At 44.6% G+C, this 18,371-nt stretch overlaps 1 protein-coding gene across 6 annotated transcripts in view, besides 2 other annotated features; it reads left to right on the top strand.

Annotated features, from left to right (window-relative positions):
• Positions 1-12,215, top strand: part of MYOM1 (myomesin 1) — a 180,570-nt gene extending 168,355 nt beyond the window's left edge. For all 6 annotated transcript variants that reach the window (XM_047437910.1, XM_047437911.1, XM_017026062.2 and 3 more), the window contains 4 exons: positions 3,261-3,297; positions 3,546-3,568; positions 7,133-7,188; positions 11,467-12,215. In XM_047437910.1, the coding sequence (XP_047293866.1) occupies positions 3,261-3,297; positions 3,546-3,568; positions 7,133-7,188; positions 11,467-11,760 (410 nt within the window). In that variant the 3' untranslated portion in view covers positions 11,761-12,215. The remainder of the gene's footprint in view (positions 1-3,260; positions 3,298-3,545; positions 3,569-7,132; positions 7,189-11,466) is intronic.
• Positions 17,580-17,709: an enhancer, noted in NCBI's record as "active region_13036". NCBI's record gives its function as "activates an Ori minimal core promoter by ATAC-STARR-seq in GM12878 lymphoblastoid cells {active_cell/tissue: GM12878}" and the evidence as "EXISTENCE:reporter gene assay evidence [ECO:0000049][PMID:35858748]".
• Positions 18,077-18,371: an enhancer, noted in NCBI's record as "tiled region #10665; HepG2 Activating DNase matched - State 5:Enh". NCBI's record gives its function as "activates a minimal TATA promoter and a strong SV40 promoter by Sharpr-MPRA in HepG2 cells {active_cell/tissue: HepG2}" and the evidence as "EXISTENCE:reporter gene assay evidence [ECO:0000049][PMID:27701403]".

The following is an 18,371-nucleotide window of genomic DNA, read 5'->3' as shown; positions in this document are numbered from 1 at the left end:
GGGCAACAGAGTAAAATCTCATCTCTAAAAAAAAAAAAAAAAAAAAAAGTAGCTGGGTAAAGTGGCACACACCTGTAGTCCCAGTTACTGTGGGAGGCAGGAGAATCAGTTGAGCCCAGGAGTTCAAGACCAGCCAGCCTGTAGCAACATAGTGAAACCCCATCTCTATAAAAATAAATAAATATTAAAAATGCTCACTTATAAGCAAAAAGTCAAAAAAAATACTGGACCATTTATCCCTTTCCCAGAACTATACTCTTCATCTTATTCTTTCTTACAAAAATAAAATAGTCTGCCGGCATGGTGGCCTTTAATCCTAGCACTTTGGGAGGCCAAGGTGGGAGGATCACTTGAGGCCAGGAATTTAAGACCAGTCTGGGCAACATAGTGAGGCCCCAGCTCTTCAAATATAAAATTTTAAGAAATTAGCCAAGTGTGGTAGCATATGCCTATAATCCCTACTACTCAGGAGGCTGAGCTAGGATGATCACTTGGGCCCTGGAGGTTGAGGCTGCTGTGAGCCAAGATCACACTACTGCACTCCAGCCTGGGCAACAGAGCAAGATTCTGTCTCTAAAAAAATAAAAAATAAATAAAATAAAATAGTCTATACTGTATTAAAGTTAATAAAGACAACTGTGGACTAACTTTTCCTCCACTTCATTTTAAAATACAATCTCAGGTGGGCATGGTGGCTCATGCCTGTAATCCTAGCGCTTTGGGAGGCTGAGGCGGGTGGATCACCTGAGGTCAGGAGTTCGACACCAGCCTGGCCAACATGGTGAAACCGCGTCTCTACTAAAAATACAAAAATTAGCTGGCTGTGGTGGCACATGCCTGTAATCCCAGCTACTTGGGAGGCTGAGGCAGGAGAATCATTTGAACCCATGTGGCGGAGGTTGCAGTGATTTGAGATCACGCCACTGTACTCCAGCCTGGGCTACAGAGCGAGACTCTGTCTCAAAAAAAAAAAAAAATACAACCTCAATATGCAGTAACTCAGGTTTTCTCAACCTCAGAGAGCAGATTCATCACTTAGAGCGTCGCCCTTCAGCCCTGCTGTGAGTGTTTTTGGTGCTGAATCCCCTTGTCTTCACCTCACCCATTCACGGCGACTAGAAAGACTCGCTGCAGGACCTTTCAGTAATGGGAGCAGCTGCTCCAGAGGGACGCGGACTTTCTAGGACACACTTTGCCTGCATCACAAGTGCACAGTGACAGGGGATTCATTCCACACTCCATCTGACAATGTGAAACACAATGGAAAAAGGGAGGCAGTCAGTGGGTGGAAAATGTTTAATTTTTTTAAATTTTATTTTTACTCTCTGGTTCACCAAAGCTTATTTAACTACACCACTCTGAAATCCCTTTTAAGGAAAAGGCTGTAGATTGTCCTACCAGCATTGCCACTGCCACCAAGCACAGATTGGCTCGGCCATTCCCACCTCTCTGTCAGAGTGGTGCGGGGACAAGAGGAAGCACTAACCTCAGCCTGGGTCCGCCTAACTGGTCTACCCTTCATTTTACAGATGAGAAAAAATCAGGACTAGCAACTGTAAGCCTAGCTTTATACTTATTTTTCCCATCTGTAACATGAGGGAATAAACTAGTATTATCTAAGCATTCTCTAGACTTAAAATATGATTCCTAGACCACTGAGGAGATTAAAAATGAGGTGAGAGGGATTTCAAAATGAAGCGACCTGCCAGACATGGTGGCTCACAGCTGTCATCCCAACATTTTGAGAGACTGAGGCAGGGGGATCGATTGAGCCCAGGAGTTCAAGACCAGCCTGGACAACATCGCAAGACCCTGTCTCTACAAAATAAAAAAAATGTAAAAATAGCTAGGTGTGGTGGCACACACCTATAGTCCCAGCTACTCGAGAAGCAGAGGTAAGAGGATCATGTGAGCCCAGGAGTTCGAGGCTACCTCAAGCTATGATTGCACTACTGCACTCCAGCCTGGGCAACGGCAAGACCCTGTCTCTTGAAAAAAAAAAAAAAACAAGGCTGGGAGCTGTGGCTCACGCCTGTAATCCCAGCAGTTTGGGAGGCCAAAGCGGGTGGATCACGAGGTCGGGAGATCGAGACCATCCTGGCCAATGTGGTGAAACCCCGTCTCTACAAAAAATACAAAAATTAGCTGGTCATGGTGGTGGGTGCCTGAAGTCCCAGCTACTCAGGAGGCTGAGGCAGAAGAATCACTTGAACTGGGGAGGTGGAGGTTGCAGTGAGCCGAGATCTCGCCACTGCACTCCAGCCTGGTGACAGAACTCCGTCTCAAAAAAAAAAAAAAAGCTGCCATTTTGCTTGAATCTTTAATCAAAGTGGCTTACTCGGCAGGCACAGAAAAAAATTATTTGAGAACTATATAGATCTCATTTTCTTGTCCCACTTGCCTTTCATCCCCTCTCCATCATGGCATAAGAAACATTGCTTCAGGCAAGCACCAGCACCCTCTGTGATTACAGTAACTCATTGTGCTTTTTTGCCCAAACAGACCAGACAGCATAACAGAAAGAGAGTTAACTGCCTATCTAGGAGGCTCTGATGTCTGGGATAATTTAATAAGACAAAGTTTTTGTTTTCCTTTTTGTTTGACACTCAGGATGTTTACTCAACAACCAGCTTTTCTTTGAAACAGACTTTTATGGCTGGGCGCAGTGGCTCATGCCTGTAATCCCAGCACTTTGGGAGGCCGAGACGGGCAAATCACTTAAGGTCAGGAGTTTGAGACCACCCTGCCCAAAATGGTGAAACCCCGTATCTACTAAAAACACAAAAATTAACTGGGTGTGATGGCGCATGCTACTTGAGTGGCCCCAGCTACTTGAGAGGCTGAGGCAGGAGAATCGTTTGTACCTGGGAGGTGGAGGTTGCAGTGAGCCGAGATTGCACCACTGCACTCCAGCCTGGGCACAGCAAGACTCCGTCTCAAAAAAAGAAAAGAAACAGACTTTTATTCCCATTTTTTCTTTGTTGGAGTTAATCTTTGCCTTTCCGTTTGAGGGGCTGAAGCCCTCTTGCTGAGTTGAAAGCTTCTAAAATCTACTATTTCATATTTTGTGCCTACAATGTATTTCCTGGCCTTGTTAAGTACATTAAGCTGTGGAGTGAACACATAAGCACAGTCTTAATCAAAGTCGGTTTAGTCATGTCTGGACCGATCACAGCAATCTCCAGTTGTGAATTTTAATCGCCCCTGTGTGTCATCAATTCTGGGTGAGAAAATTCTAACTTTTCTTTTTTCTTTTAAAGCATACGATGAGGCCTATGCTGAATTCCAGAGGTTGAAGTAAGTCCCTGGTCCTAGCAAATGCCACTTGCATGCACTAATTTCCCGGGAAGCTTGCATGCTGCTCGCCCCTCTGAGTGTTAGAAAGAGCCTTTTATTTCAGAAAGTACAGTAGAAGCAGCACTTCCCATTGTTATATTGAACAGCAAAATGTCTCTGAGGCAAGGAAAATGTCGTCAAGTTTAGCTACTTTGAAGTAACACTAACACAAAATTCTTCGTCTGTTTGTTCGTTTCTCTCAACCACAGACAAGCTGCCATTGCCGAGAAAAGTAAGTAAACTTTTTTTTTACTTTTCACAAGTACTCCTGGGATAGATTCAAAAGATAATTTTATTTTGCTATTATAACTACAGATGGAGGAGAATGGAAGTGGTTTTTTTCTTTTTTAAATCTTAGGTGTTCTACATATGTTTTCATTTTAGTCTTTTGAGTAAGAATATCTAGGAAAAGAAGGTCTCAGGTTACATTGTAAAGAATGTCACCCTACCCTTGACTTGAGCTACAACCCAGACATCCTGAGAAACCTCTTGGCTGCAAATCATACAGTAGGTTGTTAGTGACTTGCAGGTACAGTGTTTCATAAAAATATGTATATATTGGAGAAAAGAAGCAACAAGAAACATTGTAAGGGCCAGGCATGGTGGCTCACGCCTGCAATCCTAGCACTTTGGGAGGCCGAGGTGGGCGGATCACCTGAGGTCAGGAGTTCAAGACCAGTCTGGCCAACATGGCAAAACCCCGTCTCTACTAAAAAATACAAAAATTAGCCGGGTGTAGTGGCGGGTGCCTGTAATCCCAGCTACTTGGGAGGCTGAGGCAGGAGAATCACTTGAACCCGTGAGCCAAGATCACGCCACTGCACTCCAGCCTGGGCAACAGAGCAAGACTCCGTCTCAAAAACAAAACAAAACAACAACAACAAAAGAAAATAGAAAACTGTAAATTTGATATCAAGTAATTCACTGTAACTTGGCCCCAACAAATACTGTACATTTTCCTGGGAGCCCCTGCGAGATAAAAGCTACCAAATAAGGCCTTCCTTACTTTCATATAACTAGACACAGTCCAAGCAAAGCAACACCAATCTGTCAAGTCTGCATGTGTACCCAGAAACACACACACTGCAGTATTTCTGTGAGCTGTTTGTTTCACACACACAGATTTTTAGAAGAACTCAGTCTTACAGGATCTTAGGAGTCACTGACTAATCCATAATACTAATTCAGCTTCTTTGTCCGAGTGGGAGCCAGAATTTTAAAATTGTTACAGGCTAAAATGGTAGAGTCCACCTGAGCTGGATGTGAAGGGGACAGGGAGAAGGAGCAAGAAGGGAAGTCATCCTTCCCCACAGGGCTCCATGTGCCTCTGGGTGCAACTTTGAACTTTGAACCTGAAACTTGCACTGCTCCCCTCCACTCCCTTCTCCACTTTCCCCCTCCTGCTCAGGCCCTGTGTATGTGGACTGCAGCTGGGGGTAAGGGACAGAGGCTGGTACTGGGGCACCAGAGGTCAAGGGGGAAGTGGGGTGTTGAGCAAGAGAGAGCTGTTCTTGTTTGGTACTGAGCAAAGCCTACATCCACAAGCAGTTTTCTGTCTTTCCAGATTCTTGAACTCTTCTGTGGGCAAGGAGTTCATGAACTCTTTAGAACTGGAAGCAACCTTAGAGCTTTTCTAGCTCCATGTTTGTAAACTTTTGTAAGCTATGGAACACTTACTTCAAATTGATGCAGGATTTTTGCTCCTTAGTTCAGCTAAATCCAGGTTCTTGTCTCACAACCAGGAAAAATTAGACATGCGGACACATTGAAGGGTGAGGCAGGCAGAATTTATTAAGCGAAAGGAAAACTCTCGGCAAAGAGAGGGTTTCTCCAAGCAGGTTTCCCTCTCACAGTTGAATACCAGGTCTACCGTGGATGAGCTGAAGAGGCCAGGCCCCTCCCCTGCATAAGGTGCAAATTCCTGGTGGATCCCCCCATTCCCCCAATGCACATGTGGGCATGCCCAGGCAAGCCATAGGTAGCATCGGAAAAGGCAACATTCGATTGGTTAAAAGGCATTATTCAGAAATAATCATAGTATCCCCAGGTCTAATGCAACCCTTGTCCCCCATTCTACAAATTAGGAGACTGAGGCCAACACAGTGAAGTGACTGGCCCAGTATCACACAGCATGTCACACAGGAAACCAGAAGAAGGGTTAGGCTTACAGGTGGCATGATGGAATTAGCAGTAGAATGCTGTCATGTTTCACCAAAAGCAAAGCTTTAGCCTCACTTAATGGAGAAGGGAATTGTAGACAGGGAAGTCAAGAGTCACACATTAATTGAAGCAGGCCGAAAAATGAGAGGGAGGTGGCTGCTGTGTTCATGCCAGAGAGAACACCTTTGAATGAATGACAGGAAGGTGCCCTTTCCAGGGACTGAGGCAGTCATGCCCAGGGCATATAGCTTGGCTGAGGGCACCCAGGATCCCAGCACCCATCCTGTGCCTCGTCCCCTCACCTGCAGGCCTTTATACTCCTAGCCATAGACAGTGGCCTGCACAGCACTACCAAGAACTACCGGGAGACAAGAAAGGGACACTCTCTAGAGAAGGCTTCAAGGAAAGCTTATGGCCAGGCCTGGTGGCTTGTGCCTGTAATCCTAACACTTTGGGAAGCCAAGGCAGGATGATGGCTGGAGCCCAGGAGTTCAAGACCAGCCTGGGTAACATAAGACCCTGTCTCTTAAAAAAAAAAAAAAAAAAAAAAAATGCTTACATCTGCATGAGCCTCCAATCTCCCTAGCATGTAGCCCTTCCATTATGCAACCTTTTCTCATCATATGGAAACCCATAAAAGAGGCCAAGCTACGCTTGGAGGCTGTCCATAGAGATCTGTTCTACTTCCTTGAGCTTAGCCCTACTAAGCTGCAGAAGGGTCAGGGCCAAAAACAGCCATGAAAATGATAGAGCGGGTCTTGATATGGCAAAGCTATCACACACTGGTATTTTAGATACAGATACAGGCACTCCCCCACCGCCCCCCACACACACACAATATGACGGTGAAGAAGGATTAAAATCCTGAATCCAGCCAGGCATGGTGGCTCACACCTGTAATCCCAGCAATTTGGGAGGCAGAGGCGGGCAGATCACTTGAGGTCCGGAGCTCAAGACCAACCTGGCCAACATGGTGAAATCCTGTCTCTACTAAGAATACAAAAATTAGCCAGGCGTGGTGGTACAGGCCTGTAATTCCAGATACTCAGGAGGCTGAGGCAGGAGAATCACTTGAACCTGGGAGGCGGAGGTCGCAGTGAGCTGAGATTGCGCCACTGCATTCCACCCTGGGTGACAGAGCGAGACTCTGCCTCAAAAAAAAAAAAAAAAAAAAAGCCGGGTGCGGTGGCTCACGCCTGCTGTAATCCCAGCATTTTCAGAGGCTGAAGTGGATGGATCACGAGGTCAGGAGTTCAAGACCAGCCTGGCCAAGATGGCAAAACCCCATCTCTACTAAAAATACAAAAATTAGCTGGGCACGGTGGCAGGTGCCTATAATCCCAGCTACTCGGGAGGCTGAGGCAGGAGAACCGCTTGAACCTAGTGGGCAGAGGTTGCAGTGAGCCGAGATCCCGCCATTGCACTCCAGCCTGGGTGACAGAGTGAGACTCTGTCTCAAAAAAAAAAAAAATCCTGAATCCCTGGATCATTTTCTTTTTTTGCATGTTGAAAACTGTATAAAAGAACTATCAGGAGAAGGAAACTAAATTGGAAATGTAGCTTCCTGGGTGGTTTTGTGAGTATGACCGCTGGCCTTGCCACTGCAGTGATTAACCCAAAATGCCTATGCTTGCAGATCGTGCCCGGGTGTTGGGAGGTCTCCCAGACGTGGTCACCATCCAGGAGGGGAAGGTAAGCATGAAGCCTGCCTGTGCCTGCTCCTTCTGCACTATGAACAGGTTCCAGCACCCCAGATTTTGTTCCTTCTTTTAAGGCACACTTAACAGCCCACCACCTTCATCGTACTCCATAGCTGCTTATACTTGACCAGAGTAACCAAACACAAGGTTAAAAATCAGTCAGTTTTCTGGCCAGGCACGATGGCTCACGCCTGTAATCCCAACACTGGGAGGCTGAGGCGGGCGGATCACCTGAGGTCAGCAGTTCAAGACCAGCCTGGCCAACATGGTGAAACCCCGTCTCTATTAAAAATACAAAAATTAGCTGGGTGTGGTGGCTGGTGCCTGTAATCCCAGCTATTTGGTAGGCTGAGGCAGGAGAGTTGCTTGAACCTGGGAGGTGGAGGTTACAGTGAGCCAAGATCATGCCACTGCACTCCAGCCCAGGCAACAGAGTGAGACTCCATCTCAAAAAAAATCAGTCGGTTTTCCAATCATCTTAACGTTTCATAGGTCAAGCATCGGCATAAAAGTTTGTCTCTAATAGACATATGTAGACCACTTAGTATCTTTGAAGAGTCACCCTTTAAAATTATGAGAAAATGAACATGTTCTGTGTTAACTCTATGACAAATAAAATTGAAGAAAGAAATTACCTCCAACAGAGTGGAATATGAAAATTTCTATAGGCTCTAGTTCTGTTGAAAACAGGCTTCTTTCTTTCTTTTTTTAATAATTTTTTTCCCCTGTGACAGAACTCCAGGGGCTCCTGAGAGCATGTGCCCCTAGGCCGGGCACAGTGGCTCACGCCTGTAATCTCAACACTTTGGGAGGCCAAGGCACGCAGATCACTTGAGCCCAGGAGTTTGAGACCAGCCTGGGCAACACGACGAAACCCCATCTCTACAAAAAATACAAAATTTAGCCAAATGTAGTGGTGCACACCTGTAGTCCCAGCTACTCGGGAGTCTGAGTGGGAGGACCGCTTGAGCCCAGGAGGCGGAGTTTGCAGTGAGCCAAGATCACTCCAGCCCGGGCGACAGACACCCTGTCATACAAACACACACACGTGCACACACACACACACACACACACACACACACACACACAAAGAACATGCACCTCTGGTTTCTTTCCATTTGGTTTTAAACTGATGTAACCTGTTTCTGTAATAATCTCTCCAAGAGATTACAACGTTGTAAATTTGGCATCAGGTAAATCACTGAAACTTGTCCCCAACAAGTACTGTGCATTTTCCGAAGAGCCCCTGTAAGATAAGATGCCAAATAAGGCCTTCCTTACTTTCATTTAACTAGATACAGTCTGAGCGAACCAACATAATTTCTAATCTGGATTCGCTTTTTTTATCTTTATGTTTCATTAAAAAGTTTACAGCCACTGGGTGCAGTGGCTCATGCCTGTAAACCAGCACTTTGGGAGGCCAAGGCAGGAGGATTGCTTACACCCAGGAGTTCAAACTAGCCTGGGCAACATAATGAGACCCCGACTCTACAAAAACAATTTTTAAAAGTCAGCTGGGTATGGTGGTGCACACCTGTAGTCTTAGCTACTCTGGAGGCTGAGATGGGAGGATCGCCTGAGCCCAGGAGGTCAAAGCTGCAGTGAGTCATGACACCATACCACTTCACTTCAGCCTGGACAACACAGTGAGACACTGTCTACAAAAAATAAATGGAAAATAAATTAAAACAAGTTTAACATACCAGTCCTAGGGGTAGAGATATTTGTAGTGGAACAAATTTTCCACTTCAAAGGGCAGTGAAGACATACAGTGGGTGACTGGAATTCGGGTAACAAAGCAAGGCATGTGGAAATGCTTTAGCAAGAGGTAGGTTTCATTCAACTGCATTTCCTCATGGTTGGAAAATATGATCACGGTTGATTTTAAGCTCAGCCACTGCAGGGGTTCTTTTGTTCCTCAACTGTCTTTTCCATTTTCCTCACCTAATAAGGTTAAAAATATACAACTCTCTAGGTCGTACTGAGAATTAAGAAAGAGAATGTATATGAAAGTACTTTGTAATGCAGAACCCAAATCTGAAGTGTGGATAAGAGTTTTCCATGATGCCTAAGGTGTTTGGGAGTTTTGTTTTTTCTTTTTCACATTTTTTTTTCCTAACCACTAGACTGTCAGGGGGTGTTTGGGACTTTGTTTCATTTTGTTAAAAGTTTTAACTACAAGTAATCACAGTTTCCAAAAGCATATACCTAATCTGCTCATTAAGTTTAAGGATAATAATTGGACTCCTCTTTTTTTGACTGAAATGTATTTGTAGGATAATTCAGTAAGAAATATTAATTAGTGATGGGAGAAAAACAGATTTCTTAATCTATCCAATTTTAAATGATATACCTGCAAAAGGGGTAACAAATAATCATGTAAGACCCTTTAGAAAGCTATGTAGATGGGTGTTCTTTCTCTGTACATTGTGAGCCCTAGTTCTTTCCTTATCACATCTGGATTTTAGTAAGAGAAAAATACAAGAATGGAATTTTAAAATGTGAAGTAAATTCAACATCATTAACCACCAGGCAAGTGAACATTAAAACCACAATGAAATATCACACCACACCTATCAGAATTGCTGTAATAAAGAATAGTAGCTGGGTGGGCTGGTGTACAACAACAAATGGTGGGGAGGCTGTGGAGAAACCGAATCACTTGTATATTCTGGTGGGAATGTAAGCCAAAATTGTATAGCCGCTCAGAAAAACCGTTTGGCAATTTCTGGGAAAAAAAAAGAAAACATGGGCTGGGTGTGGTGGCCCATGCCTGTAATCTCAGCACTTTGGGAGGCCACGATGGGAAGATTGCTTGAGACCAGGAGTTCAAGACCAGCCTGGTCAACATAATGAGACCCCATCTCTATTCTCTATTTTTTTAATTAAAAAAAATAAAGAAAAAATGAAACATGCATTTATCATACATTCCAGCAATTGTATCCCTGGGCATTTATCCCAGAGAAATGACAGCTTATGCTCACATAAAAACCTGTACACAAATGTTCATAGCAACTTAGTGCATCATAGTTAAAACTGGAAAAAGCTCAGATGACCCTTACGGGCATAAACATAGTATGACATTCTAGTCAGCAAGAACAAGGGATAAACTATCGATACATGCAGCATCTTGGATGAATCTGGATGTAATTATGCTGAGTTACAAAGGTTATTCTGAAAGGTTATACAGTGCATGATTCTATTTATATAATATCTTTGACCTGACAAAATTTTAGAAATGGAAAACAGATGAGTGGTTGCCAGAGATTAGGAACAGAGTTTGGAAGTTGGAGGAGAGGTGGGTGTGGGTATAAAAGGACAACGCAAGGGGTTCTTGTGGTGATGAAAATATTCTGTAAATTGAATAGAATGAAACACACACAAACACAAATAAGCACCAGTAAAATTAGAGAAATCTAAATAAGGTCGGTGGATTGCATCAATGTCAATATACTGGTTATGACATTCTACTATAGTTTTGTAAAATGTTACCACTGGGAAGCTGGGTAGACAGCATACCAGATCTCTTTATTATTTCTTATGGATTTCTTTATTATTTCTTACAACTGCATGTGAATTTACAATTATCTAAATCCTTTTCAATTAAAAAAAGTAAGGTAAAATAAAACTGTAGACCTTGTGTCTACATACATATCTAGAATATCGATCTTTTAGAATAAGGTTTCAGCACAGATGGGAATATTTTCTTTAGGAATACGTTTTGGTAGGGGACCACTGCAACTGCAGCAGATTGGATGGGCTTTGAGGAGAGAAGTAAAATAAGGGTGGTGGAATTTGAAAATCAGTAACATTATCTGAAGCAGCTGCCGTGATTCTGCTGCCCGGCTCTTTGATGCAAATGAAAGGCAAAAGTGAGCAGGTGGCAATTACAGCAATGAGATTCCTGTACCGAGACAGAACCCAAAATGCCACAATAGAGCAAAAGGCATCTATATGTTTATGAAAGAGAAAGTGAAAATGGGGAATAGACATAAACTCTTTCGTGTGTTTTTGATAATAAGCATTCCAGAAGCCAGAAAGCATATAAAGGCCTTGAGGAGCATTAAAAGGCCTTGAGGAGATCCCCTCACATGTTATTTCAAACTGTAACTCACACAGGTGCATACACAGAACTACTTTAAACCCTGGTCCGGGAGGCTTTTACTTATCCTCCCTTTGGTCATGCCAAGCCACCAGCCGGCAAGATTGTTGACAGTGTGTCTATTACATCTAATTTATCTTCTTCTCTCCCATAAAACCTGTCTTGCAGGCCCTTAATCTCACTTGCAACGTGTGGGGAGACCCGCCTCCGGAGGTGTCGTGGTTGAAGAACGAGAAGGCCCTGGCCTCAGACGACCACTGCAACCTCAAGTTCGAGGCTGGGAGGACCGCGTACTTCACCATCAACGGCGTGAGCACCGCTGACTCGGGCAAATACGGGCTGGTTGTGAAGAACAAGTATGGCTCGGAGACCAGCGACTTCACCGTCAGCGTGTTCATCCCAGAGGAGGAGGCGAGGATGGCCGCCTTGGAGTCCCTGAAAGGTGGCAAGAAGGCCAAGTGACCGGAGGTGCGAGGAGAGCCAGCCGGCCTGTGTGACTTGGGTGTGAATGGTTTGGGTTAAGGATGAGACGTCTTCATGCTTTCTCCTCCCTATTATTTTCTGGCTTGAGGGGAAAATAATGTCAGGTCTTTCACTCATATAAAAAAGCACCAACTAATGACACTTTAATTGTTTTTCTTTATCTACAAAATTATGTGTTAAGAAAATACCATTCATAGCATGAAGATTAGGAAACAGTTTTAAGGAGAAGACTTGAATGAAGTTGGAGGGACATTGAATGATGGTCAGAGGGCAGACGAATGTGTCGTGGGGCGAATTGGGATTTGCTGCAGCTGTGAAGCCATGGCCGTGTCTCGTGTGTTGTTACAGAGGTGATGTGCTTTTCGACGGGCGCCTCGTGGCTTGGAACCTCCTCTGTATGAATAAACAGTTTTCACGTCTGTCCTCTTCCCCGACACTGTTTCTCAAATTCCTGCTGTTTTGCTGCTAGGTTGGGTGGCTTCTTGGTGCTTCTTTCTCAACGCGTCTTGTGCCACATCTTCTGATTTAAATTCCTTTTGGTGAAAGCAGTACCTTGCAACATGATCAGATAAGTCGTTTGAGCTCAACGAGGTTCAGGGGTGTGAAATTACACGGCCACTGCACATCTGGTGGCTTACCACACAATCAAGCCAATTCCATTAATAAGATACACAAGGCAATTGAATGTAATGTGACAATTACATGTGATAAGATGGTGTGAGGCGCCTCCTGCCAGAACTGGAGACTAAGGGCCCACAGCTAAGAATAAAAGGTACATAAGAAGCCTCATTCTGAGCTCAGAGAACTGCCAGCTGTGGAAATTGCCACTCCCTGAGGGGTTTGCTGAGGGTCAGCATCCCAGCAGCAGCTGTTGTAGAAAGTTTTGTCCTCCCCAACCCCAGCACCACACACACACACACACACACACACACACACACACACACACATAACACACACCATTCTAGGAAAATCGTCATGGTGTTTTTTTCTGTTGGGTGCAGTATCTCACACCTGTAATCCCAGCACTTTGGAAGGCTGAGGCGGGAGGATTGCTTGAGTCTAGGAGTTCAAGACCAGCCTGGGCAACACAGCGAGACCCCTCTCTACAACAAATTTTAAAAATCAGCTGGGTGTGGTGGTGCCCACCTATAGTCACAGCTACTTGGGAAGCTGAGGTGGGAGGATCATTTGAGCCTGGGAGGTCAAGCCTGCAATGAGCCATGATGGCGCCACTGCACTCCAGCCTGGGCAACAGAACAAGACCATCTCATAAAAACAATTTTTTCCCCTTCTTTCTCCTGCCAAAGGTAGCGGATGAGACAAGAAATTTCCTTATACAGTTGGCAGGGGCTCCTACACACCCTCTCCTTTACAAGTTTAAGGCTGGAAATTGCTTCTCATCTGACTGTGGCCAATCCACTTGTCCAAACAAGTGCTGGATGCTGCTGCTATGACACTGAACACCAGGCAGGAGCCAGATGCTGTGTTCTCACTCCCAGATATGGCAAGGAGATGAGCTTCCCAAGGGTCAAGCGGACCCCATGGAAGGTGGCTGGCCATGAGCAGTCTGCGGTTCTGCCTGCCTCAGTAAGAGGGCTACATCTGAACAAGCTGACCCGGAAGGAAACTGCCAGTGGGTGGACACCTGCTGGGGAGCTAAAGATGGGAGGGTGGCGGGGTGGGGGTGGGGGTGGGAAAGGTTCAAGCGGCGGCAGACCTCCCATGCCAAGGGCCAAGGGCTGTGCAAGCGAGAGGCCCCTAAGACTCTCCGAAAAGCCCCCACCACACCCCTCAAAAAGCCAGCAACAGAGCTCCCAGTGTCAGAGAGGTGAGGTTTCTGCAAGCAGCACCTCCCACCCCTTCCCTAATTTCCACCTGCTGGATCCCAGACTGGGGAGAAAGCAAGACGGGTGTTGAATCAGGTGGAAACAAAATTTTAAAACAGTGTATTCCAAATTCTGAAATTGTGCAAAAATGTATGAAATCAAAGTGTGCCCTAAGACCCCTGCGCCCAGCAGAGGGGTTTGCTGGGACACAGCAGCAGTGAGTTGGGGAGATGGCTTTTGTGTTCGGAGCTCCATACGCTGAGATTGCTCAACAAAACAGCTATAAGAATTATTTCAGCCATTATTATGACCAAACTAAACCAGTGACCTCAAGATTTAATAGCTTAGGTAAAAAGCTGCTATTTCTACAGGGGAAAATAGAACTGAAACTATAGATCCATCACTTTAATGGTGCCGAAGATACTTTGTAACACATAAAAATTTATGAATCTGTGACCTGGTAAATGTGAAGTAGTGGTACTTAAAGGATCAACTTGGAACACAGAAAAGACCATTCAGAGTTTACTTCAGTTTTATAAAATTAATATATAGGCTGGGGTGCAGTGGCTCACGCCTGTAATCCCAGCACTTCGGGAGGCCGAGGCGGGCGGATCACCTGAGGTCGGGAGTTTGAGACCAGCCTGGCCAGCATGGAGAAACTCCATCTCTACTAAAAATACAAAACTAGCCGGGCGTGGTGGCACATGCCTGTAATCCCAGCTACTCAGGAGGCTGAGGCAGGAGAATTGCTTGAACCCAGGAGGCGGAGGTTGTGGCGAGCCGAGATCTCACCATTGCACTCCAGCCTGGGCAACAAGAGCGAAACTCCATCACAAAAAAATTAAAAAAATAAAAAAATTAATATATATATATATATATAATAGTCAAGTGACACATTTTAAAACCTAGATCTTCCTAAATTCTTGAAGTTCAACTTTAAAACATTATTTTTCCATTTAAAAATCTGACTATTGAAGAACATTAAGTTTAAGGCTGCTTTTTATAGCATAACTTAATTCCCTTTAATTTGTTAAGCTTTATTTATAAATTAATATATTTTCTCTCCACTTTAAGGACTACTATTGTCTGACTTAAACAAAACTGTCTCAAGAACTTAAATAACTTTATCTACTAAACTAAGTATATAAATACAGAAAATTTGGAGTTTTCATAAATATTCTCATATTGTATATAAACCTAGTAAGATGAACATAAAATCACAGTCAATTAAACATTTTACATTGGAATCACAAAGCTGGAGGCTGGGTGCAGTGGCTTACACCTGTAATCCCAGCACTTTGGGAAGCCCAGGCAGGAGGATCACTCGAGCCCAGGAGTTTGAGACTAGCCTGGAGAACATGGTGAAAGCCCATCTCTACAAAAAATCCAAAATTAGCTGGGGGTGGTGGCACGAGCCTGTAGTTCCAGCTACTCGGGAGGCTGAAGCAGGAGGATCGCTTGAGCCTGGGAGGTCAAGGCTGCAGTGAGCTGTGATTGCACCACTGCACTCCAGCCTGGAAGACAGAGTGATACTCTGTCAAAAAAAAAAAAAAAAAATTGGACTTAGTCACTAGGCTAAGACATTTCAAGTACATGAAAATCAAATATGCACAGCCTACATAATGCAGAAATACTAATTTTTGCCTAGATATAGCCTCTAAGATCTGGGACTGGAGTTTTAATACACATGCCAGAATGAGAGATGTAGACCTGGATTGTTCAAGGTAGTGAGTTGGTACCCAAGATGCCTGCACAAATCTGAGATGCACAAAGAGTGGCTTAGTCAAAACAAAAATGGGAATAGTAAAAATATCACCAACTGACATAGAGAAGCTATACAGAAGCTTTCCATCTGCCTGGGGGCGGTTCTGGATGGAAGAAAATTTAATGGATTCCTCAAACTAGTACTGCATGTTTGTGGGGTGCAAATTTACAGCACCACATGGTAACAATCTCAAGCCAAGAATTCCCATAAAAATGGTCGAGGTCCGGGGCCTCAGGGAAGCAAATGCAAAACTACGCTAGACGGGATTCTCTGTCTGCCCACAAAGGATTACTGTTATGGAAATTGTCCTCCCACCATGAACAACTAGAAAAACAGGCAAAATATCAAAACATATGGAAAAATAACCGTTTAGGGCATTGGCCAGCAGATGTGCAGGCCCAAGATGCCTGAGAGAAGGGGAAAGTGATGAGACACCTGTGATTGCTCCAGCTTCTTCTTGCCTAGACAGAGTGCTCAGGCTGCAGCCCAGCAGGGGGAGCCTGTCAGTCTCATTGAATTGAGGGGACAGAGACTGAGGTTCAATGAGGCGGGGTCGTCTAAAATGTATGAGAAAGAATAAGAGAGAGAGGAGAGTTGCACGAAGACAGGGTGCTGGAGGCTGCACATGCTCTTTGGCTGAGTACTATTCAGCAAATGCACGGGAGAAAGAAATCTGGAAAGCCTCAGGCCAAGCAATTCTTGGAGCTCACGCGGGCTGGAAACAGAGTCCGTGTCCACCAGCCGGAATGAAAAGACTTTGTAATACGTGGGCCTCGGGTAGAGTCCTCAGAAGTTTCTCCTCCATAGTGGGGCACTACTAAGGTGAGAAATTAATCCTGGATTAAAAACTCCTCTGGCCCCACCCTAACAGAGCTTAAAAGCAAGCCTCAAGAGGATCAAATATCTACAACAAATCGAGTGTCAGAACAAGGTGCAGCGCATTTTAAATGAACACACTGGCACGGTCTCAGGTGTTCATTAGTTCTGTTCTGTGGGCCTGCTTCACATACCCACAGCAAGATGTTTAGATAAAATACTAATACATCAGTTATATGGAGGATTACAAACTGGATACATAGTGACCATCACATCACAGCCTCAAATATTTGCATTTTGACCTCTACCTTGGGCTTTAGAGATAAGATTATGTTTAAAAAACAGTCTTAAGTTATTTAAATTGCTTCTGAAGAATCAACTGATATATGTAAATGAAAATCTCAATCTCTAAAATGCACACCAAAGTTTCCAAAATTACTTAGCTCATACTTACTAACATCTAAGTGCATTTTTTACTTTTTTTAGAACATGCTTTAATTGTAGCCCAGCATCAAGAAGGCATAGTAGACTTGTCACAAAGCTCAGACACACACACTGTGGTTACTCAGACAGTCCATACTCCCTGCTACTCACTTTTGAGGATGAATATTTACATTCCAAATGATACACAACTAAGTTTAATTTAAAACACTTTGGAAACAAAATAGGCACTGTTTGCAATAAATTATGAAGGTAATGCTCGCCTCCCCTGGGGTTGAGTTTCTACAGTTTCCTTCTGTGGTTTCTTTCCTCTCGTTTCTGGTTTTAGAAGGTTAAGGGCATAACCTATCAGGCCGGGACTTCAGCCTGAGGCGTTACTAGTGCCCATGGTATCACACAAAAGCCACCCACTCTGCTTGCTAAGAGCTGGTTCTAAGCCGGGAGAAAAGGTGTTACATTGCTGAGCCAAACTGAAGCCAAGTGTTTCCTTTCAGAGACGAGGGGGACGTGTCCCAGAATCAGAGAGTGTTTTATTACATTGACTCTATTTTGGTTGTTCCAGGGCTCATCTTAGTTATCTAAATGTCCCTACTGAATGCACCCATAGTTGCCCACAGGAAGCCTCTCCAAGGAGACCCCCATGCCAACTGCAGTACATATGTGAATGCTCCCTCCATTTCCTTGTTCTTTACAGCTTAATATTCCCGGCTAGAAAGAGCTAACCAGTTCTCGGAACCCTCTTTGCTCACAGGCTTCTGTCAGTACAGGCACCTCTGGTTCATAAGCTTCCCACGCAGTCCGGAGACATTCTCCAGAATTTCACGAGAAGCGTGTGTCTTCCTTACACACTCAAAACCAGGAGCTGAATTGCAAGGAGGCATTTGGCTTCATGAAAGTGAAGACTGTGCAGAGAAAGAAGAGAAGCAACTCGTTGCGGGGGCAGAATCGAGAAATCTGAAATCCTCCTCTCAGGTGAAAGTTTCAGCAGCACTGAAGTACAGATGAAAAAATAATGAAAATGAAACCAATTCCTTGTTTTCATCTCAAAACAGAAAGAAAAAACAATTACCTCTACGTCATTCTATTAAAAACACGGGGCATTGCCTGGGCACGGTGGCTCACACCTATAATCCCAGCACTTCAGGAGGCCAGGAATTTGAGACCAGCCTGGGCAACACAGAGAGTCCCCGTCTCTACCAAAAACAAAAAATAAAAATAAATTAGCTGAGCATGGTGGCACATGACTGTAGTCCTAGCTACTTGGGAGGCTGAGATGGGTGGATGCTTGAGCCCAGGAGCTCGAGGCTGCAGAGAGCCATGATCGTGCCACCACTCTCCAGGCAGGGCAACAGCAAGACTCTGTCTCCAAAAAAGACAAACCATAAGATACCATTTCTTCCATTCATTCATTCATTCAACAAATATTTACTTGGTGTGGGTCAGGCCCTGTTCCCCCAGGCCCTTCTGACCTGCCATGGTAGAAAGCCCTCTGTCCCTAAAATTCCTGCCTTTTTGCCAGGTTTATGTCCAGCACAAGTGGAAAATCACCAACAGCTTTGACCTCTGAACAGACACTGCCGGAAGTCATGGAAGTGAACTGGGGTGAAGAATTGGTTTTTTCCATCTCACTCAAGTGTGGCAGGACAGTTGCTCTGTAGCACCGGCGGCCAGGAAGTGAGGGGGAAGAGGCAGGAAATGTGTATTGGCTTCTACACATAAACTTCGTATCTATAAAGAATGAG

This window comes from Homo sapiens, chromosome 18 (assembly GCF_000001405.40).
Source record: "Homo sapiens chromosome 18, GRCh38.p14 Primary Assembly".
NCBI classification, from domain to species: domain Eukaryota; kingdom Metazoa; phylum Chordata; class Mammalia; order Primates; family Hominidae; genus Homo; species Homo sapiens.
Note: the sequence above shows the minus strand (reverse complement) of the source record. Positions and strands in the feature narration are given on the sequence as shown.